Source organism: Homo sapiens, chromosome 1 (assembly GCF_000001405.40).
Source record: "Homo sapiens chromosome 1, GRCh38.p14 Primary Assembly".
Classification (NCBI taxonomy): Eukaryota; Metazoa; Chordata; class Mammalia; order Primates; family Hominidae; genus Homo; species Homo sapiens.
This window is the reverse complement of record NC_000001.11, coordinates 55,100,479-55,124,349: the sequence shown is the minus strand read 5'-3', so window position 1 is coordinate 55,124,349 and position 23,871 is coordinate 55,100,479. Positions and strand designations below refer to the sequence as shown.

Below are 23,871 nucleotides of genomic sequence, written 5' to 3'. Positions count from 1 at the left end.
GAGTAAAAATTCATCAAGCTCTGTATACACTTAGTATTTATGTATGTTCCTATATGTATGTCATATTTCACTTAAGAAGAAAAATATTTATAAACACATAGAGTAAGTGAAGAAACCAAATCAACAGTTTTTAGCTTAGCTGAGTATAAAAGTGTCATGAAACCAATCATTGTGGCAATAATACAAATTCATTTAGAATTCAGTCCTGGAAAACAGTTCTTTTCTTGGTTTGCCAGGTTATTTTTCATTAGGCCTCTTTAAAATATAGCTTTATTTCCCAGCTTTATTTGGTCTTCCTGCTCAATCTCTATTTTAGAAATACCTCAATAATAAAGGAAGTTTTTAAAATTTTGACATATATACAGTAAAGTGCAGACAGTAAAGTGTATGAGATTTTTAGGATTTTTGTATGCATATGACCCATCTACATCAAGTTACAAGGTAGAAAACATTTCCGATATCCTCTGGAGGGCTCCCTCATGCCCACAAAATTGCGCTATTTTCACTTCTATCGCCTGAAATTAGTTTTGCCTTGTGAACACATTTTGATTGCCTGCAAATGTGTTTTAAAGAAAAAGTAGTGAGAGTGTTTCAAATACAGTATTAAATCTCTCTTGCTTCTTGGACCTAAGTGCTTTCTTGAAGTATTTAATGTCACATGAGGATTCTGGAACATATAGTAAAAAGATTAAAATATTGCATAGTTCCTGTAGGATCCACAGTAAATTTCTGCTTACCTGTTTTCAGGAAGCAATTGCAGCTCTGGAAGTGAAGGAGAACCAGTAGCCCTGCATGCGGGAATCTGTGTTCGACAACAGTCTGTATCCACCAAAGACTCGCTGATTGCGGGAGAGGCTTTGTCTCTTCTTGTTACGTGCCTACAGCTTCGGAGCCAGCAACTGGGTATGCTGGAGGCTTGTTTGTGATTAATCTCTTTCAGGGAAAGGCCAAGTTTCTGTTGGGAATTCTTTACATTTCTTCCTAGATAAGGTCCCATTGGTCAAAATGAAAAAGGCGGGAAGTTGGCATGTGGCGTAGCTAAGAATAATGCTAAAATAGCTCATTCTGAAGAAATATTTATTGAGCACCTTCTGTATATGAGGTTCCGCAGTTGCTGTCACCAGAGCAGTATGTCTGCACACCACGAGCTTGCTGTCTAGTTGAGGAATTCAAAGAGCCCAAATTTACTAGTTCATAAATTACAGAATTAGAATTGTATATCAATTCCTGATAATGACTCTAGTATTAAAAATTGTGTAACTTAAGATTTGCTCTTTCATCTTTATTGTTGGCTTTGGTGAACGGGGACCATTACTAATCATTCTCTAACATGAGAGCACCCCAGGGCTCAGGTCCTATCATCTCTTCTCTATCTCCATTCATTCCCTTGGTGATCTCGTGCAGTTTCACAGTTTTAAATTCCATCTATATGTTGACAACACCTAAATTTGGGTCTATGGCCTGTACCACTGTCCTGATGTCTCCAGTTGGATATCAAATAGACATCCCAAACTTCTCATTTCCAGAACTGAGCTCCTCTAATCCTGCCCATATCATCCTAGAGTTTTCTCAACTTAAAAGCAGTTCTATTCTTCCGGTTGCTCTGGCCAAAAACCTTGGCTTCATCTTTGATATCTTTTTTTCACCCCCTACTTCTAATCTGTCAGCATATCCCCCTTCAAGCCCTCTCTAGATTCTACCCCTTAACACCCCTTTCACTGTTGGTCCCTCCAAGCTGCCATTGCTTCCTACTTGGACTATAGCAAGAGTGCCCTAACTCATCTTCTTGCTTCTGCCTTGCAGTTTATTCTCTACTCAGCAACCAGGGTGGACCTTCTAAATTTTAAGTCAGAATACATCACTCCTCTTTGAAAGCCTTCCGGTGGCTTCTCAGTTCACCAAGCAAAAGCCAAATCTTTACAAGGGGGTGGACACTGTGTACCACTTGATACTCCTGTGCCTTTGCTTCTACTCTTCCCTTTACTCACTGTGCTTCGGCCACCCTGGGCTCCTTGCTGTTCCCCCAGCAGCCAGCATACATTCCTTCCCTTGCACTGGCTGTTTGTTCCCTCTTTCCAGTATGCTTACTGAAACATTCCCCAACCACCTATAAAAAAATTACAGTGCTCTTCTTGCCCCTGCACTGCCCAGACTCCTTACCTTATTTTTTTCCTGTAACATTTATCATTTTATAACTTGCAAAATAATCTACTTATTTATTGTGTTTATTGTCATTATCTCCTCCCCAACTAGATTGAAAGCTCCATGAGGACAGAGACTTTTATTCATTTTGTTCCCTGATGAATCTCCAGCCCCCAAACACTGTCTGATGTGTAGTAGATTCTCAATAAATAAATATTCAGAAATGAAGTTTTAGCAACTCCACTTTTAAAAAGTGTACTAATCCTACCCTTAGCTGTTTGATTTCGTTTAATTTTCCTAGAATTGTTTAACTTAGAGATATTTTCAAATCAAGATGAAAAAATGATAACTTCCCTCCAAGCTTTTATCTGTTATCATTTGTAAGTTTATTTTAAGGTATATTTTATAGTTTGCAACTATTGATAGTTTATCAAGGCAAGACATTTATTCTGTAACTGGTATGTGCAAGGCATTGTGATAAAATATAGAGCACAAAAATAAGACATGGTTTCTTCTCTTGAACAACTTAGAATTTTATGGGGTAAATGGACAGGCATGAAAGCAATTGTAAAAGGTCCTGAATTATTGTATGTAAAAGAGAAGAGCTTATGCTTAAGTTGAGCTTAAGAAATTAATCAAAATTTGAAAATGCATTACCTAACTTGTTTCACACACCCACATCCCCCATTTCTTCTTATTAGCATCTTTCTATAACTTGCCCTGTGTTGCTGATTTCATCATTGATATTCTGCTCGGATCACCAAGTGCTGAGGTAAGGATTTTTCACATTACTTACAAAACTCCTTTGGTCCTGTTGTTTTGTGAGCTGTCTCAACTACCTGTGACATTGTCGGGAATACAGGAGTGGCATTGAGTGCTCTCAGGGAGTGTACGAAGGGGCTGCAGACCATGAAAGAAAAGTAACCATTTGGACTCTACTGCCTTTCCTTCTACTACCTCCTCCATATGCCACCAAAAGTTATGAGACTAATGTTAGTAAGTTATTTTTGTTTATAACAACGTTACAACCAGTGTCTGATATCCATAGCTCACAAGGGCAGCTGGCACTAAGCATCCACGTTGTTGGTCAGAATCAGGAAAGATCAACCTCAACCCATAAACTTTCATTAGATATTATAGTTCTGACATTCTTACATGACCTTGAGGATTAACTTAAACTTTCTTTTTTCTTATTTTCATTTACATTAAGTTATAAACCTATTGAGTAGAGTAGAATAGTAGAATAATTTGGGAAATCAGTTCCCAAACCGCAGTGGGTTTTAATTAGCCATTAAAACCTTACCATTAAAATCTGAAACACTCATACCTTTCTAGTATCCTTCAATAACTTGATTGACTAAATAGGCTGGACTTTGGAAGAAAATCACTTTTTAAGCAGTCTCAACATGTTGATTCATGTCTGTCCTTTGCTGCTGATCATGTAATTTCAGATTCGCCGGGTTGCCTGTGATCAGCTGTACACTCTTAGTCAGACAGACACATCAGCGCATCCAGATGTGCAGAAGCCAAATCAGTTTCTTCTAGGCGTAATCCTCACGGCTCAGCTGCCTCTCTGGTCTCCAACTAGTATTATGAGAGGAGTCAATCAGAGGTAGGTAATAAAAATGGAAAAGCTAACCTTATACAGAGAGAGGATAAATGATAATTTGTGTGCTGCTCCCCTGAAGTCCACAGTGCATTATTGAGATGACTAGAATTTCTTTCTTCTTCTGAAATTTGGGTCCTGAAAGATGGCATTTGGATAGGAGAGTTAGAAGAAACACTACCAGGCCTTCTTCTCCATGTCCTCAGTTCTCACTTCACCCCATGTGATTCATCTACCCCAGAGAGAAAAAGGAGCTCACCTGATTGGTGAGAGCCTGGAATTATTGGAGCCCGGTCACTGTGTAAAGGTTATACTGATCCTCTCCCCTTGTGCATCACTTTTTCAGTGCAGATATCTTGTAGCTCCGTGTCTAGAGGTAGCCAAGGTATCCTCCTAGCTTGCCTTCTTGGTTTTATACATGCTTCAGTATGTAAGAGAGCTTGTAGTCCAAACTCATGAGATGACTATTCTGCCTGCCCCATCTTACCTCAACAAGTGAGCCTGCATGCATGTGCTCCTCAGTCTAGTCCCAGGATAGGAGGTAGGGGTCTCACATTGACCTCAAGTTCATATGACTTTTTCTAACTCACCTTCACCACACAGCCCCTACTGTGGGGCTTATAAAGTGTCATGGAGATTTGTGAAGTCAATGTTTCCTTTCCTTGTTTATGTGCTTTATAAATTAGGTCCCTCTCCAAAACTTTTGCATCATCCTAAACTGAAACACTATGCCCATGAAGAAGTCATTAAATAAAAGACTGATAAATTTGACTCCATAAAAATTAAAATTTTCTATATAGGAAAAAATGCCTCAAAGTCAAAAGTCAATCACCAAACTGGGAAAATAAAATCTGCAACATACATGACAGACAATAAGCTAATTTGAGATATATATATCTATATATATAACTATTATAAATTATTAAGCAAAAGACCAACAGCCAAGTTAAAAAGGGGCAATGAATGTAAACAGACTGTTCAAAGACACGTAGATTTTTTTTGAATTGCCAAATTTTTTTTATTGTGGTAAATATACATAACATAAAATTTACCATGAGGTATACAATTCCGCGACATTAAGTATGCACACATTGTGATGCAACCATCACAACTGTCTATTTCCAAAACTCTTTTGCCATCCTAAACTGAAACTCTACTCATTGAACAATAACTCCCTGTTCCCCCTCCCCCATCCCACGGCAACCACCATTCTACTTTCTGTCTCTAAGGATTTGACGACTCTAGGTACCTCATATAAGTGGAATCATACAGTATTTGTCCTTATATGTCTGGCTTATTTCACTTAGCATAATGTCCTTAAGGTTTATTCATGTTGTAGCATGAATCAGAATTTCCTTCCTTTTTAGGGCTGAATTATATATCATTGTATGTATAAACCATATTTGTATATCCATTCATCCATAGATGAACATTTGGGTGTTTCCACCTTTTGGCCGTTGTGAATGCAGCTACAAACATGGGTATGCAAATATCTGTGTGAATCCCTGTTTTCAGTTCTTTAGGGTGTATACCCAGAAGTGGAATTGCTAGATCATTTAGTAATTCTGTGTTTGATTTCTTTGTGGAACCACCATACTGTTTTCCACAATGGCTGTACCATTTTACTTCCCCACCAGCAATGTACAAGGATTCTCATTTCTCCACATCTTAGCCAACGCTTGTTGTTTTCTAGGATTTTTGTTTTTGTTTCGTTTTGTTTTTGATAGTAGCTATCCCAGTGCATGTGAATTGGCATCTGTGGTTTCAGTTTGCATTTCCTTGATGACTGATGTTGAGCGTCTCATCATGTGCATGTTGGCCATTCGTATATCTTCTTTGGAGAAACATCTATTTTAAGACCTTTGCTCATTTTTAAATTGGATTATTTGTTGTGGAATTCTTTATATATCCTGAATATTGATCCCTTATCAGATGATATGATATGCAGATATTTTCTCCCAATCTGTGGGTTGTCTTTTAGCTCTCTTGATGGTGTCCTGTGTATGTATTTTCTCTTTAGTTACCTGTGTTTTTTGCTGTCATAGCCAGGAAATTATGGCCAAATCCTGTGTCACAAAGTTTTCCCTGTTTTCTTCTAAAGGTTTTATAGTTTTAGTTCTTACATTTAGGTGTTTCATCCATTTTGAGTTTAGTTTTGCATTATGGTGTAAGGTAAGGGTCTGACTTCGTTTTTCTCCATGTGAATATCCAGTTTTCCCAGTGCCCCTTTTTAAAAATACTATCCTTTCCCCATTGAATGGTTTTGGTGCCCTTGATGAAAATCAGGACCATATTTTTGAGTTCTATATTTCTATTGCATTGGTCTGTATGTCTGTCTTTTTACCAGTATAAGACTGTTTTGATTACTGTAGTATTGTACTAAGCTTAAAATCAGGAAGTATGAGTCTTTCAGCCTTATTCCTCTTTTTCAGGATTGATTTGGCTACTTGGAGAGTCCATGTGAATTTTAGAATGGGTTTTTCTATTTTTGCAAATGTCTTTGGGATTTTCATAGAGATTTCATTGAACCTGTAGGTGACTTTGAATAGTAATGACATCTTAACAAGATTTTGTCTTTCAATCCTTGAACACAAGATGTCTTTTTATTATGTCATCTTTAATTTCTTTCAGCAATGTTTGTAGATTTCACTGTACAAGTCTTTTGTTTCCTTAAGTTGGTTCCTAAGTATTTTATTATTTTTGATGCTATTGTAAGTGGAATTGTTGATTTCTTTTTCAGTTTGATCATTGTTAGTGTAAGAAACACAACTGATTTTTGTGTTGATTCTGTATGCTGCAACTTTGCTGAATTTATTTATTAGTTCTAACAGTTTCTTTTTTTTTTTTTTTTTTTTTTTTGAGACGGAGTCTCGCTCTGTCGCCCAGGCCGGACTGCGGACTGCAGTGGCGCAATCTCGGCTCACTGCAAGCTCCGCTTCCCGGCTTCCCGGGTTCACGCCATTCTCCTGCCTCAGCCTCCCGAGTAGCTGGGACTACAGGCGCCCGCCACCGCGCCCGGCTAATTTTTTGTATTTTTAGTAGAGACGGGGTTTCACCTTGTTAGCCAGGATGGTCTCGATCTCCTGACCTCATGATCCACCCGCCTCGGCCTCCCAAAGTGCTGGGATTACAGGCGTGAGCCACCGCGCCCGGCCACAGTTTCTTTTGCAGAAACTTTAGGGCTTTCCATATATAGTAACATGTCATCTGTTAACAGATAATTTTACTCCCTTTTCAATTTGGATGTCTTTTAGTTCTTTTTCTTGCCTAATTGCTCTGGCTGAAACCTTCAATACTACGTTGAATAGAAGTGGTAAAAGTGGGCATCCTTGTTTCTGCTCTTAGGATAAAAGCTTTCAGTCATTCAGCATTGAGTATGTTAGCTGTGAGTTTTTCATATCTGGCTTTATTATGTTGAGGTAGTTTCCTTCTATTTGTAGTTTGTTAAGTGTTTTTATCATGAAAGTGAGTTAAATTTTATCAAATGCTTTTTCTGCTTTGATTGAGATAATCATGTGGGTCTTTTTCTTTCTTTCCCTTAATATGAGATTACATAGATTTTCGTACCATGGACCATACTTGAATTCCAGGAGTCAATCCCACTTGTTCATGGGGTGTAATCCTTTAAATGCACTCCTTTGGTTTGATAGTATTTTGTTGAAGATTTTTGCATTAGCATTCATAAGGGATATTGGTCTGTAGTTTTCTTGTGGTGTCTTTTTCTGGCTTTTGTATCAGGGTAATACTGGTGTCATAGAATAAGTCAGGAAGTATTACCTCCTCTTCAGTTTTTTGAAAGAGCTTGAGAAGACTTGGTGGTAATTCTTTAAATATTGGTAGAATTCACCAGTGAAGCCATCTGGTCCAGGGCTTTTCTTTGTTGGGAGTTTGTTTTTCTTTTCTTTTCTTTTTTTTTTTTTGGATTACCAATTCAGTCTCTTTGCTGAATCTCTTTGCTAAATAGATTTATTTACCTTTTCTGTTTCTTCCTGATTCAATCGTGGTAGGTTTTGTGTTGCTAGGAATTTGTCTACTTCATCTAGGTTAATTTGTTGGCATATAGTTGCTTACGGTACTCTCTTATATCCTTTCCATTTCTGTAAAATTGGTAGTTATGTACCCACTTTCATTTCTGAGTTTAGTAATTTGATCCTTCTCCCTTTTTTGTGTTAGTCTACCTAAAGGTTTGTTGGTTTTGTTCATCTTTTCATTCAAAGAGGCAACTTTTGGTTTCATTGATTTTTTTTTTTCTTTTTGGTATTGTTTTGCCATTCTTTATTTTATTTATTTCCACTCTAATCTTTGTTATTTCTTTCCTTTTACTACCTTTAAGTTTGGTTTGTTCTTCTTTTTCTAGTTCCTTAGGTGTAAAGTTAGGTTGTCAATTGAATCCTTTTCTTGTTTTTAATGTAAGCATTTATTTATTTATTTTTAATTATACTTTAAGTTCTGGGATACACGTGCAGAACGTGCAGGTTTGTTACATAGGTATACACGTGCCATAGTGGTTTGCTGCATCCATCAACCCGTCATCTACATTAGGTATTTCTCTTAATGCTATCCCTCCCCTAGCCTGCCCACCCCCCGACAGGTTCTGGTGTGTGGTGTTCCCCTCCCTGTGTCCATGTGTTCTCATTATTCAACTCCCACTTATGAGTGAGAACATGCAGTGCTTGGTTTTCTGTTCTTGTGTTAGTTTGCTGAGAATGATGATTTCCAGCTTCATCTGTGTCCCTGCAAAGGGTATGAACTCATCCTTTTCTATGGCCACATAGTATTCCATGGTGTATATGTGCTACATTTTCTTTATCCAGTCTATCATTGATGGGCATTTGGGTTGGTTCCAAGTCTTTGCTATTGTGAACAGTGCCACAATAAACATACCCATGCATGTGTCTTTATAGTAGAATGATTTACAATCCTTTGGGTATATATCCAGTGATGGGATTGCTGGGTCAAATGGTATTTCTGGTTCTAGATCCTTAAGGAATTGCCACACTGTCTCCACAATGATTGAACTAATTTACACTCCCACCAACAGTGTAAAAGTGTTTCACCATATCCTCTCCAGCATCTGTTGTTTCCTTTTTTTTTTTTTTTTTTTTTGAGGCGGAGTCTCGCTCTGTCGCCCAGGCTGGAGTGCAGTGGCGGGATCTCGGCTCACTGCAAGCTCCGCCTCCCAGGTTCATGCCATTCTCCTGCCTCAGCCTCCCAGGTAGCTGGGACTACAGGCGCCCGCCACTACGCCCGGCTAATTTTTTGTATTTTTAGTAGAGACGGGGTTTCACCGTTTTAGACCTCGTGATTCGCCCGCCTCGGCCTCCCAAAGTGCTGGGATTACAGGCGTGAGCCACCGCGCCCGGCCTTGTTTCCTTTTTAATGATCGCCATTCTATGTAAGATACCATGTAAGATGGTATCTCATTGCGGTTTTGATTTGCATTTCTCTGCAGTGATCATGAGCTTTTTTTCATGTTTCTTGACCACATAAATGTCTTCTTTTGAGAAGTCTGTTCATATCCTTTGCCCATTTTTCGATGGAGTTGTTTTTTTCTTGTAAGTTTGTTTAAGTTCTTTTTAGAATCTGGATATTAGCCCTTTGTCAGATGGATAGATTGCAAAAATTTTCTCCCATTCTATAGGTTGCCTGTTCACTCTGATGATAGTTTCTTTTGCTGTGCAGAAGCTCTTTCATTTAATTATATCCCATTTGTCAATTTCGGGATATAATTGCCATTGCTTTTGGTGTTTTAGTCATGAAGTCCTTGCCCATGCCTATGTCCTGAATGATATCGCCTAGGTTTTCTTGTAGGGTTTTTATGGTTTTAGGTCTTACGTTTAAGTCTTTAATCCATCTTGAGTTAATTTTTGTATAAAGTGTAAGGAAGGGGTCCAGTTTCAGTTTTCAGCATATAGCTAGACAGTTTTCCCAAAAACATTTATTAAATAGGGAATCCTTTCCCCATTGCTTGTTTTTGTCAGGTGTGTCAAAGATCAGATAGTTGTAGTAGATGTGTGGCATTATTTCTGAGGCTTCTGTTCTGTTCCATTGGTCTGTATATCTGTTTTGGTACAGTACCATGCTGTTTTGGTACTGTAGCCTTGTAGTATAGTTTGAAGTCAGGTAGCATGATGCCTCCAGCTTTGTTCTTTTTGCTTAGGATTGTCTTGGCTATACAGGTTCTGTTTTGGTTCCATATGAAATTTAAAGTAGTTTTCTCTAATTCTGTGAAGAAAGTCAGTGGTAGCTTGATGGGGATAGCGTTGAATCTATAAATTACTTTGGGCAGCGTGGCCATTTTCACAACATTGATTCTTCCTGGGCACGAGCATGGAATGTTTTTCCATTTGTTTGTGTCCTCTCTTATTTCCTTGAGCAGTGGTTTGTAGTTCTCCTTGAAGAAGTCCTCCACATGCCTTGTAAGTTGTATTCCTAGGTATTTTTTTCTCTTTGTAGTAATTGTGAATGGGAGTTCACTCATGATTTGTCTATTATTCGTGTATAGGAATGTTTGTGATTTTGCACATTGATTTTGTATCCTGAGACTTTGCTGAAGTTGCTTAAGGAGATTTTGGCCTGAGAGAAGATGGGGTTTTCTAAATATACAATCATGTCATCTGCAAACAGAGACAGTTTGACTTCCTGTCTTCCTATCTGAATACCCTTTATTTCTTTCTCTTGCCTGATTGCCCTGGCCAGAACTTCCAATACTATGTTAAATAAGAGTGATGAGAGAGGTCATCCTTGTCTTGTGCCAATTTTCAAAGGGAATGCTTCCAGCTTTTGCCCATTCAGTATGATATTGGCTGTGGGTTTGTCATAAATAGCTCTTATTATTTTGAGATACGTTCCATCAATACCTAGTTTATTGCATATGTTGAACCAGCCTTGCATCCCAGGGATGAAGCCAACTTGATCGTGGTGGATAGCTTTTTGATGTGCTGCTGGAATCAGTTTGCCAATATTTCGTTGAGGATTTTCGCATCGATGTCATCAGGGATATTGGCCCGAAATTTTCTTTTTTTGTTGTGTCTCTGCCAGGTTTTGGTATCAGGAAGATGCTGTCCTCATAAAATGAGTTAGGGAGGTGTCCCTCTTTTTCTGTTGCTTGGAATAGTTTCAGAAGGAATGGTACCAGCTCCTCTTTGTACCTCTGGTAGAATTCAGCTGTGAATCCATCTGGTCCTGGGCCTTTTTTGGTTGGTAGGCTATTAATTACTGCCTCCATTTCAGAACTTGTTATTGGTCTATTCAGGGATTCGACTTCTTCTTGGTTTAGTCTTGGGAGGGTGTGTGTGTCTGGGAATTTATCCATTTCTTACAGATTTTCTAGTTTGTTTGTGTAGAGGTGTTTATAGTATTCTCTGTTGGTAGTTTTTGTTTCTGTGGGATCAGTGGTGATGTATTCTTTATCATTTTTTATTCTATTTGATTCTTCTCTCTTTTCTTCTTTATTAATCTGGCTAGCCGTCTAGGAATTTTTCCCAAGCAAATGGAAAGCAAAAAAAAGCAGGGGTTGCAATCCTAGTCTCTGATAAACAGACTTTAAACCAACAAAGGTCAAAAAAAGACAAAGAAGGGCATTACACAATGGTAAAGATATCAATGCAACAAAAAGAGCTAACTATCCTAAATATATATGCACCAAATACAGGAGCACCCAGATTCATAAAGCAAGTTCTTAGAGACCTACAAAGAGACTTCGACTCCCACACAATAATAGTGGGAGACTTTAACACTCCGCTGTCAATATTAGACAGATCAATGAGACAGCAAATTAATAAGGATATTCAGGACTTGAACTCAGCTCTGGACCAAGCAGACCTAATAGACATCTACAGAACTCTCCACCCCAAATCAACAGAATATACATTCTTTTCAACACCACATTGCACTTACTCTAAAATTGACCACATAATTGGAAGTAAAACACTCCTCAGCAAAAGAATGGAAGTCATAACAATCTCTCAGACCGCAGTGCAATCAAATTAGAACTCAGGATTAAGAAATTCACTCAAAATCGCACAACTACATGGAAACTGAACAACCTGCTCCTGAATGACTACTGGGTAAATAATGAAATTAAGGCAGAAATAAATAAGTTATTTGAAACCAATGAGAACAAAGACACAACGTACCAGAATCTCTGGGACACAGCTAAAGCAATGTTTAGAGGCAAATTTATAGCACTAAATGCCCACAGGAGAAAGCAGGAAAGATCTACAATTGACACCCTAACATCACAATTAAAAGAACTAGAGAAGCAAGAGCAAACAAATTCAAAAGCTAGCAGAAGGCAAAAAATAACTAAGATCAGAGCAGAACTGAAGAAGATAGAGACACGAAGAACCCTTCAAAAAATCAGTGAATCGAGGAGCTGGTTTTTTGAAAAGATTAACAAAATAAATGTAAGCATTTATAGCTATAAATTTCCATCTCATAACACTTCTTTTGATATTTCCCATAATTTTTGGCAAGTTGTATTTTTGTTTTCATTTGTCTTAATATATTTTCTAATTTTCCCTCTGGTTTCTTTGATCCATTCTTGACTTTTTTTAATACCTCTGTTTTAGATATAATATGTATAATCTACAGAATTTCTCAAATATAGTTATAATTTTATCTGTTGTTTGCAAGTCTTTATTACAGGATTAATTGTGTGTATTAACACTTGTTCTATTCTCATGCACTTTCTAATATACAGAGATTTCTGGCCCCTGTATCCCGGCTTCTACATAAATATTATTTTGAAACATTTAACCTTCTGTTTTAACATTCCAGATGTCTAAGAAAGAAGTCAAGATTTTGGTTTCTGAGATGAGGTCATTGTGAGTGACTTAGAAATGTTAAAAATTCAGCCAAAACTTAAAAATTATGTTATAGTTTACCATCAAGATTTAAGCTGAATTAGACATCAGCTGTATATTTATGGTAATAAAAAATAATTCTTTAGTGATATTTCAGAGAATGGCTTCCCCCAGTAAACATGTGAATTAAAAGCTGTAGAAATTTCTTCTTTTATCTTTGTATACTTTTTACTTTAGAATTCCAACTTTTCCTAGTTAAAATTTTTCTAAACAGATGAACTTTTTATTTGAAAGACCAATGATTCTTCAGTATAAATGTTTAAGCCATTTTTAAGAAGTTAAAGCTATTGTGCTTATACTTGTTGTAAGTCAGTTCACTTAATATAAGTACATGTTTTTTATTTAATATTAAGTTCCTCTAAGTTTTACGAAAGAAGCAGAAAGCATTAGACGAGAGTTTTAACATATACTCTTAAAGAATCTCTTAAAAATATGTTGAAGGTAGAGCTATTTAATTTCACATCAAAGTGAATCTTTAATTATATGTTTGCATAATTTAAAAAATTACGTCTCACAGCTTTTTTTAATGCCTAAGTTTGGTACATATTTTCCCTCAGTAGTATGATGATGATAGTTGCATGCTAAATACCAGGAAAAAAAAATAGTATGGTAATAATAATAGCAGTTACCATGGACCAACTATACACCACCACACAGCATACTAAACTGCTTATGTATGTTTTTCTTTTAATCCTCAGACTGGCCTAATGAGTTTGGCAGTTTTATTGTCATTTTTTATAACCATAATTCTTGGTTCATTATATATTCTCCTCATTAGTTTGTGCTTGAACCTTTTCTATATGTTTGTGTATATGCGTATGTTTTTTATTTCCAATACTATAGTAAGCATTTTAGAAGTTAGAAAACTAAAAGTTAAAAGTGAAGTAGTTGTCCATGGGACATCCAGCTGCTATAAGTAGGGGAGCCGGGTTTAAAACCCATTTGTGTCTGATTCTAAAACCTGTGCTGTTCACTACTATAATTGCAGAAAAAGCTTCTTTGATCATCCTCTGTAAAATAGTTTCCCTGTCTCTTTCTCTTCTTACTCTGCTCTGTTTTTCTTCTTTGTGCATATTACCACTTGACAAATGTGTATATTTCTAATTTGTTGTTTGTCTCCCTTCTTAAGTTCACTAATCTCCCAAAACAGTTCCAGGCATTTGTAGGTGCTTAGTAGATACTGGTTGAAATGTAAATGAATGAATGAATGTAATGAGTGTATTACGTATGCAATCAGTGCATATATTATTTTAAGATGTGATAGATTTAGTGTTTCCCTCTCTTTACACCGTTATTTCTGTTACTATATCTGTATTAGTAAAATCAGTATGCTTCTTGCTAAAATATGGAATTTGAGTTAATATAAAAGTAGTTATGCTTACCAAAATTATCTTGCTCACTTGTTTTATGAATTTGTTCTTACAAGGAAAATGCTTTTTATTTTCAAATCAGCCTCTTATTAGTAACTGAAACCTTTCTGTTTTTTAGACTGTTATCTCAGTGTATGGAGTATTTTGATTTGAGATGCCAGTTATTAGATGATCTGACAAGTAAGTAAATGACTAATATGTAGGGGAGAGGGGCTGGGGAAGAGTAGAAGAGAAAGTCACACGGACATTTCTAAATATGATTTACATATCTCAGGTGTAAATACAATTACAATTGTTTGAAGTTGAACCTTGTTTTCTTGAAAATAGCATATAAACCTGTGTACCAGTGAGCTCTTCTTCTGTTACATAACCAGTCATTAATGAATTGAGAACATTTGTTGATTTTTTAAATTGTCAAAGGCTCATATTTTAATTACACTGATACGAAACTATTGTGAAGGGTCTTTCTCTCCGGTGTAGTCTGTTATAATTTTAAAGGTTGATTGTTGAAGGAAAGAGGGACTCTTTGTTGCGGCATGTTGATAGTGTTAGAAGTCAGTTCATTAGTGTTAGTTGTAAAGTATCATGGTTAGAAATTCTTTTGTTAGTGTGCTGAGATTTTAATCATCTGTACTTACCCTTAAATAATGTAAATGTACTTTGGAATGCTCTGTGTAAATTTTAGTTCAGATCATGAGTTTGTTATTCTCCGCTCTTCACAAAGAATTTGCTTCAGCTTACAGGAAATTAATAAAATAAAAATCAGGATCCACAAAAATAGCAATTGGTAAAGAACGTCAAGACCAGGAGGAAAAAAAATACCTCAGAATTAATTTCTGAGGTTCCTGAAGGCCAGAGGTAAAAAGGAAGCAGCGTATGGTTAGTTGTTCAAATACCCTGTAAGAAGAAATAGAATAGTTTCTCAAAAGAAGCAAATCTCTTTCCCAGCACCTAAGTCTAAAAGAAATTTCATACAAAGGCCATCATGTAATGGACACATAAAGACAGTGACTAATAATCCTCAACAACATTTCTATGGTGGCAGATGCTTTCATCAGTTTCGTAAGTGTCTGTCAAAAACAGGAGGTGGCCAGGCGCAGTGGCTTACGCCTGTGATCCTGGCACTTTGGGAGGCGAAGGTGGGTGGATCACTTGAGATCAGGAGTTCGAGACCAGCCTGGCCGACATGGTGAAACCAAAAACACAAAATCAGCCGGGCGTGGTGGCACGTGCCTGTAATCCCAGCTGCTCGGGAGGCCGAAGCAGGAGAATCGCTTGAACCCAGGAGGCAGAGGTTGCAGTGAGCAGAGATTGCATCACTGCACTCCAGCCTGGGCGACAGAGCGAGACAGAGTCTCCAAAAAATAAAAAATAAAAACAGGCCACATTGCTCTGAGCAATGCAGTGGAATTGGTCTCGTGGAGAGGGAGTTAATACAGTGTGAGAGTGTGTCTTGATTCAGAGAGAAGATCTGTTGGATCTAGCGAAGTGGGTGGACTACATGTCCATCTAACAGTCTCACATAACACTGGTTTTCACCCAGGCTCCCAGGGAAAGCTGACCAGCAGCCATACAGGCTTTGCTTTCTGCTCTGCAGCAAGGACAGGAATCATGAGTTGGCTACACACATGCAACTTTGAAATGAGTGAACGAGTTATTAATGTAGACCTTCCCTGTGTTGTTGAGTGATAAATGAGGGACCCAGGATCTCTTGTTAAGATCTTGGGAGGTGAGGGGAATTCTCGGGTAATAACATGTCTTGAAACAAACAATATTTGCCAATTCTGGAGTGTATTCCGTAAGCCAGTGCCTATACTAGCACTTCATACACAGCACCCTGCAGTGTAGGTGCTGGTCTCATTGCATAAATAAGGAAACAAGGTCATACAGTAAGTGGTAGACATAGGGTTTCTATCTGGTCCCAGTCCAGCTCTGACTGACCCTAAAGGGTCCTTCTTCACTTCACCGTGTGGAGACCCTGCTTGCTTCTCACTATAGTGCAGTGGAAGTAGAGCATAATCACTCTTCCTCCCCTCCCAAGTCTCAACTTCCAATATGAAATTGTGCTTTAAGTCCTTGTTTGAAGGGGCAAGTGAGATACATAATACAAAAGAACAGAGTAGTTCTCAGGAGTTTGGCACATTGTTTAGAAACCTGGACTCTGGCAGCTGTACTTCTGACCTCATTCTCCTTTGCAGAACTCAGCCCTCCCTTGGTTCAGGTAACACTGCAGGAGTGTTGATTCTCCTTATACCCTTCTACCCCTTCTTTCTCTAGAAGATTTTGTTTCCTGAGACTTCTGCTAACCCCCACCAAACCAGGAGCTCCTTCTGAGCAGGAATTTGTCTCCCTCATCTTATAGCCTCAGCATATGGCACAGTGACCTGCACAGAGGAGGCAACCAATAAGTGGTTTATGAATGGGGGTGACTTCATTCCCTGTGGGCAGCAGCTGTCACCTACTATTTGTTAATGACAGTTTTGTGGGGTTTTTGTGTGTTTTTTTTTTTTTTTTTTTTTTTTTGAGACAGAGTCTTGCTCTTTTGCCCAGTCTGGAGTACAGTGGCGTGATCTCAGCTCACTGCAACCTCTGCTTCCTGGGTTCAAGCAATTCTCCTGCCTCAGCCTCCCGAGTAGCTAGGACTACAGACATGCACCACCGTGCCCGTGTAATTTTTGTATTTTTAGTAGAGATGGGGTTTCACCATGCTGGCCAGGCTGGTCTCGAACTCCTGACCTCATGATCCGCCCACCTCAGCCTCCCAAAGTGCTGGGATTACAGATGTGAGCCAGCTCGCCTGGCCTTAATGATAGTTTTTTAAAGATCTGTAAAGTGAAAGATTGGGGCTTGACTTTGCTTACTTTAATTCAGGACTTTGACTCCATAAAGGGAAATCCTTCTTTCTTTGTAATGGATTTTTTTTTTCCTTCTTAGCTTCAGAAATGGAGCAGTTAAGGATCAGCCCAGCTACGATGCTTGAAGATGAGATTACTTGGCTGGATAACTTTGAACCTAATCGTACAGCTGAATGTGAGACCAGTGAAGCGGACAACATCTTACTGGCAGGGCACTTACGCCTCATCAAGACCCTTCTTTCACTCTGTGGGGCAGAAAAGGAAATGCTTGGTAATTATTGCTCCATCTTATCACATGGCAGATTCTTCAGTGCTCGGTTATTGCCAGTACTGTGTGTAAGTGGGAAAATAAGATAGATGCCAAGTGTTCCATGGAAAATTGACCCTTCACACAGTAGGAAATTGTCCGTTATTTTAGTGGCTAACAAACTTAAGGTGTACTTTACCTGTGTCATTAAACAACATAGAGAATTTTATGGTGTTCAAAATAGCTGGATCACATAACTTCCTAATACCAAGTAAGAATTATAATTCAAAGTAGATTTTTCTCTTTTTGCTGTTATGTACTTTGTAATACATAATTTACTGTCTGTCTTCTTTTAAGGGTGATTCTCATCTGAAGAGGCAGCCCCTAACCACCCCTGCCCTCCAGTGGTGGGGTACATATGAGATTCTCCTAGGGTACACATGTAATTTGTAAAAGATTATTCAGTATTATAAATTGTATTCAGAAGACAAATGAAAAATTAACTCTCTCTTTTATAACACAAACCAAGCTTTACAAAATATTCTTGGCTACTGGGGATACATAGAAAAGAGTGATTCTTAACCAGAGAGAGAAAGGCATATCATTTTAAACTAAAAAGGCAAGATTTTAAAAGTTTCAGAAACCCTTATGTGGACTCCCCTATGCCCAGAGTAAGAACTGTTCACTCAAACCATTCTGCCTTGTGGTGTCCTTGGCACTTCTGTTTCTAAAGTGAAAGCTTGACTCCTTTCACTGTATTGTAAGCCCATAAAGGAACACACCCTCACCTGCCTGTCTTTGTATTCTGTCCCCTTTGTAGTCTACCCCACAAGCTTTGCCATGTAGTAAGTCCTCCAAAAACAAACATTAAATTAAACTAAATGCTCTGCTATTGGGTGGCATTGGGTACCTTTGCTGCTCTGATAAGAAAGTGCAAGATAGGATCTTTGAATTAAAATATGTGTTCATCTTCAACATGAATATTATGCTCTATTCCAGGTTCATCACTCATTAAACCATTGTTAGATGACTTCCTTTTCCGAGCTTCTAGAATTATTTTAAATAGTCATTCTCCAGCTGGCAGTGCCGCCATCAGTCAACAGGACTTTCATCCAAAGTATGGAAAATGCACGTTGTGTTCAGTTTTGGTAAAAATTCTAATTTGAAACTTCAGTCCCAAAAGATTTTGTTAACTTGGAGTTTGTCTTCCATCTGTGAGTCTGTGTATCCTATATTATCCACTAAATGAAGAAATGCACATGAAGCGGCTTAGCATAAAGCCTGCCTGGCACATAGTAAGCACGGAGCAAGTGTGCTGGTACCATTATTATCCTCAGAATGGAGAACAAATAAAAATGTGGCTAACTTGGTCAGTAACAAATGCCAAGAGAAACGAAGGTTATAAAAATTATGTCGAAAGTACAAGTAAATAGGCTCTGAGTAAAATCTTGAAGGTTTCTCAGGAGAAAACGATAGGTGCTTTAGTGCATGAACCTTGTCGTTTGCTGAGTGCTGGCTGTGTTCTGTTAACTGCAACTGCTTGTGATTTATTACAGTAGTAATTTTGGAATCAAATTTTGTATTAGTTTTATGGGTACAAATTTGAAAGATCTCTTTGTAATGTTGACCCTCCTTGAGTGGTATTTATACTCTTGGAGGTAGGAAGAAGAGGCAGAGCTACAAGCTGCTATTTCATTTGCTCCAAATCTAACTAACTTTGTTCCTTTCTCATGAAAACCAGAGTTAATTGAGTAATCCTGAAGAAACTATTTGCTGTTTATAGTGAAAAGGGTTCCTGTACAATTTCAGTGGTTATTGAAATGGACAAGGCATAATAAGCAGTATTTTGTGGAATCCTAAGAGGTATCTTATCACATATAAATATTTCTCTACTTAAAGTTGCCTCATTAGCAAAATCTGTTTTAGGTAAGAAAAAAAAGTAAAACCCTTTATTAGAACTCTTGGGGTATTCCTCAGGCTGTGACTCCCATCCTCATTGCTACCCCAGCCCTGTTTTGGAAGATTTGGTGCTAGGTCTATGGTAGTCTTTTATTAAAGCAGCAGAAACAAGTGAATATTTTAATTTTCAGTAAACACAAAAGATATATCTTTAGCAGTTTTATTATTAATAAAAGTAGTTCCTCCATAAATGAAGAAGGAAGGAGTGTTTTTGTAAAAATCATATACAGTGCCTTGATTAAAAAAGGAAACATTTGTTTCATCCCTCCCCATTGTACTGAATGGTGTTGATTTATCACAGTAATTCCCAGTCTTTTCCCACCAAAACCTTCAAGGAAGAAAGAGATTTAAAATACACAGAAACTCTTTTCAGAAGTAATGCTATTTTGTATCACAGTAATAAAGCAACTTTTAGTGTTTAGCCTGTGTAAATGGCACCTCCCTATTCTTTTCTTACTGTCCTTTGCAACCCTGAAGTTCAGATAAGAAGCAAAGGACAGTGCCAGCTCCATGGCCATTGTCCTCAGTGCCTGGTGTCGTGCTGGTCTAAAAGCCTCATAAGCCCCCTTAAATGCCTCCTCCTACATTCCCTAAGTGTTTCACTCAGAGGTTGGCTATCCTCTTTTCTGTGTATCCTTCCTAACCAGTGATCCCTCAGTAATGCAAGGTTAGCATTGGTTAAAGTGAGATATTATTGTCCATCCCCAAAGTGGTTTATACTACCAGGCAGGCAGTGTAGAAAGCCTTTGATTTCATGCAGAATGCTTGCTAGTTATCTTTTGTGTCACTTTAAACGAATTGATTTGACAAACTGTATTTTTGTCTCCATTTTTTTCATAGAAAGTCCACATAAAATGTTTATGGCTATCTATTCTGGGTTTTACAGCTTTCTTTTGCTGCCATCCTAAGATCTTCTTAGGATGACAGCGATAAAATCTTTCTACTTACCTATTTTATTTGAAAGACAGTTATTCCCATGTCATCTTTATTACAGAGTTCTCTTTACTCTTTCTCCTCCATTCTTGCTGATCCATTCATTAGATGAGACTATTCTGATCATAAGTGAAAGAATTTTACTACTTTATCATCAGGCCAAGAAGATAGTTACTAATTCCTCCTGTATTCATGACCCCTGGATTACTGGATGTCTGGGGTTAGACCTGACTTAAGTATGTTTGAGGAATTGGAGCTCTTCTACTTTCATTTCAACTGTTGATTTAGTTTAATGAGTAATTTAAGTAGATTATTCATTGTTGAAATTGACTTGTGTCTTTTGTTTCTAGGTGTAGTACAGCGAATAGCCGATTGGCAGCCTATGAAGTCCTTGTGATGTTGGCTGATAGTTCACCTTCAAATCTTCAAATTATTATAAAAGAACTGCTTTCTATGCATCACCAGCCTGACCCTGCTCTTACCAAGGAGTTTGATGTAGGTTTTCTAGACGTTGATGAACTTAATTTTTTTAGAATGATCTCTGAAACATATAATTTTAAGACTGTATTTGCATTCTGCTGACCACAAAGAAAGTCAGTATTACTATTTTGCTTACTGTGTTCACATACTCAAATCAAGTATAAGCTATAGTATCACTCTAATATACTGAATATATTATGAAATAGTATCCTTTTAATTAAAGAGGGAGAGGCATTTTCAAGTTGCTTGGTAGTTATTCTCAGTAAAAAGTAGCATTCCAACCTATTTTTTCAGTGACTTTATGCTGGGCATAGGCCAGACCCTAGAGATACAAGTCAAATAAACATTGGCTCTATCACAGTACAGCCTATGTGCAGTTAAATTCAACCAAAATTTATTGAGTTTAGTATGTGCTAAAAGGCATATTAGGCTTTTGGAGGTCAAAAATGAAAATAGGATCCCAGCCCTCAAGAAGGTCAGTGTATAGTGAAAGAGACAGGCCCATAAGCAGATAGTTTCAATGTAATGTGATACAATATGAGATAGAGGTATGTCCTCAATGCTCTAACACAGAGAGGCACTTCACCACCAGCTGTTGGTATCTCAGAAGGCTTCTTAGAGGAGCTGAAACTTAAAATAGGGCCATAAAAACTAGTGAACCAGGTGAAGCAAGGTGGGAAGGTCATTCCATTCCAGTAATGAGAAGAATATGAACACAGCTGTGGAGACATGAAATAGCTTAGTGTATGTTGGGATCTGCGAGAGGGAAGTATATTGCAGGTCCACTGGAATACAGACTAGAAATGGGAAGATGCTTTCAAAGCTGCCGTTTGTGTTCTCTGACATCACAGAAAGTCAGACTTACCCTTTGGATGCCTGAGTTAAGTATTACAGAACATAGAGGTTAGGTAGGAAAGGAAGTGGGGACAGATGTCCTAAATAGAGGGAGTAGCACTTGGCAAAGACTTAGAAATGTGGGCTCTCATAAGTTGGAAATGGTTTTGATTGATCAAAATGGTTTATAATGCTTTAGTTTATAGGTTATGTTATGTGTTACTTTAGATGCATTTATTTAATCAGATTTAAATGAACTTCTTATGTTTTTCCTTACATCAAAAATTATATCAGCATAATGGAGGCAATATCTGTGTTAGATAAATATTTATATTTTTAGCACTGTTACAAACCAGTTTTTTTTTTTAAATCTATGCTTTGGACTACAAATAAATTTCGGTGTTAATTAGGTCTTAGAAATAATCCTGCTGTAAGTATATGTCTGATGTTAATGAAGAGTAAGTAATACTTAGGAATTCCTTGAGATCTAGAAGACCTATACATTTTTGTCTGCTAGTTGGTTATTACATGGATGCAGATACTTAATATGTGCAGATAGCATGATTCTGGTCATGGCATGAGAACCAAGATCTTTGAATAGCATTTCAAAGTGTAAAATTACAGTATCCTTTTCCACTTGAAGAAGTGCCATGTTGAACTTTATCCACTATGCTTTTTCTGGATCATTTCTACCCAGAAAAGCACTGTACTGGGGTCTATGTTATTTCAAAACACCTGTAAGTAAAATGGTAGGATAGTCACCTATTTAATTATATGTTTACTGGAAGAAGTTTAATAGAAGAATGTTACCTTCTCTAAAAGGAATTACAATATGAGCCTTTTTTTGCCATCCAGATTGGTCAGGATCCTTCATGGTAATCACTTCGTAGACTCACATTCCTTTTTTTCAGAGTACTACCTTAATTCATGAATATATAGTAGGACATTTGCTTGATTATGCCTCTTTACCCTAATAGACTGTAAGTGCCTTGAGATCAGGGGCCGTGCACATTTCTGTTCTCTCTTATATCCCATGCACAGTGCCTGGCAGATAGAAGGGTATTTAATCAATATTTGTTGAATGATAATCAAGTAATTATATAAATAAACAAATACACACCTATCTGCCAGGTATTTTATGACTGAAAAAGCAACATTGAGATAGCAGTATTTGATAATTATATCAGCATCTGCAGAGGTACTTCATGAACATAGGTTTTGCCAGCATAGCTTTCATAACATGCTGGATGGGTAAATCTGTGAATATATCTCCCGCATAGCTATAGTGTAAATGTGTCTGTGGCAGAAATGCTCATTCTTCTCCTCTGCTGTTTCTATTCCTCTCTTTTCCAGTACCTTCCCCCAGTGGATAGCAGGTCCAGTTCAGGGTTTGTGGGGCTGAGAAATGGTGGTGCAACTTGTTATATGAATGCAGTCTTCCAGCAGCTGTATATGCAACCTGGGCTCCCTGAGGTGATTTCTTTTTTCTATCCTTTTTGGTACGATAGATAATACGTGCGTTACTTGAAAATTGTTTCATAGTTTTTTATTGCTTTTGGGGTTTCCTAAAACAAGACATAACTTGCAATTCTTTAGTAGCTCCTGAAATGTGTAAAGACATGTTGTGTATAATCACACATTTTTATAAAGTTGCTGTTGTAATAAGCTGCCTGTATTACAGATGGACTTGACCTAATGTGATTTTTGAACTCCAAAGTTGTTTTTAAATTATATTCCATAAAGTTACTGACAGTTTTAGTATTTTAGAAATATATAGGGTCTACCATGAGCACTTTACAATAATATGGTCAGTGGTTTTGAGAGTATTCCATGTGTACTGGGCTACGCTTATTTCCTGTAGAGAACCTGGTATTACTAGACCAGTTTTTCATAATCAGAGTTTAAGGACATGATTTTTTCATAATTACACCAGCTAGGAATTATTAAAGTTAAATATCTGCAGCATTATAGCCATGTCCAAACATACATAACATTCTAAAAAAGCAATGTGGGTACTAACATGTACATATGTCAGAGTTTCCTGTGAAGCATTTTAAATATTTCAAGCTTGATATGTTTCTTTTCTGTGCAGTCATTACTTTCAGTGGATGATGACACAGACAATCCAGATGATAGCGTGTTTTACCAAGTGCAGTCTCTCTTTGGACATTTAATGGAAAGCAAGCTGCAGTACTATGTACCTGAGAATTTTTGGAAGGTATTTCACCCAGTAACTCTTGAGATTTAAAGATGTTAAATATTTGGCTACATTCTTTCTCTAATGGTAATGGTTTTTTGTTTTTATTAACTTTAGACTAATCTCTTGCCAAGAAACTGTAAAAGGATTTGGTATACCATTGTTGAAATTGGTACTTGGTTTCAAATCATTAGAATGTTGAGAATAGTCATTCAATTCCTAGGAATTTGCTCATCTTAATTATTTTGAATATTTTTAATGATTCTTATTTTAGTTCTTTGAAATATTTGTTCATATCATTCCCCTGACCCTGTGCCGATTTCACTAATGTCTTTAAATAAAGAACACTTTTTTTTTTTTTTTGAGACGGAGTTTCGCTCT

At 37.4% G+C, this 23,871-nt stretch overlaps 1 protein-coding gene across 10 annotated transcripts in view; it reads left to right on the top strand.

Annotated features, from left to right (window-relative positions):
• USP24 (ubiquitin specific peptidase 24) overlaps positions 1-23,871 on the top strand; it is a 149,006-nt gene that overhangs the window by 91,015 nt on the left and 34,120 nt on the right. For 6 of the 10 annotated variants that reach the window (XR_001737080.2, XM_047416524.1, XM_017000832.2 and 3 more), the window contains 9 exons: positions 748-903; positions 2,844-2,914; positions 3,594-3,754; positions 14,104-14,165; positions 16,920-17,111; positions 18,087-18,204; positions 20,330-20,474; positions 22,647-22,766; positions 23,386-23,511. Coding sequence is in view for 9 of the 10 variants with exons in the window: in XM_047416524.1 (XP_047272480.1) it covers positions 748-903; positions 2,844-2,914; positions 3,594-3,754; positions 14,104-14,165; positions 16,920-17,111; positions 18,087-18,204; positions 20,330-20,474; positions 22,647-22,766; positions 23,386-23,511 (1,151 nt within the window). In the remaining variant the exon portion in view is untranslated. Of the gene's footprint in view, positions 1-747; positions 904-2,843; positions 2,915-3,593; positions 3,755-14,103; positions 14,166-16,919; positions 17,112-18,086; positions 18,236-18,828; positions 18,951-20,329; positions 20,475-22,646; positions 22,767-23,385; positions 23,512-23,871 lie in introns of those variants that run through there. The other 4 variants (XM_047416525.1, XM_047416526.1, XM_017000836.2 and 1 more) reach the window with 4 other exon arrangements.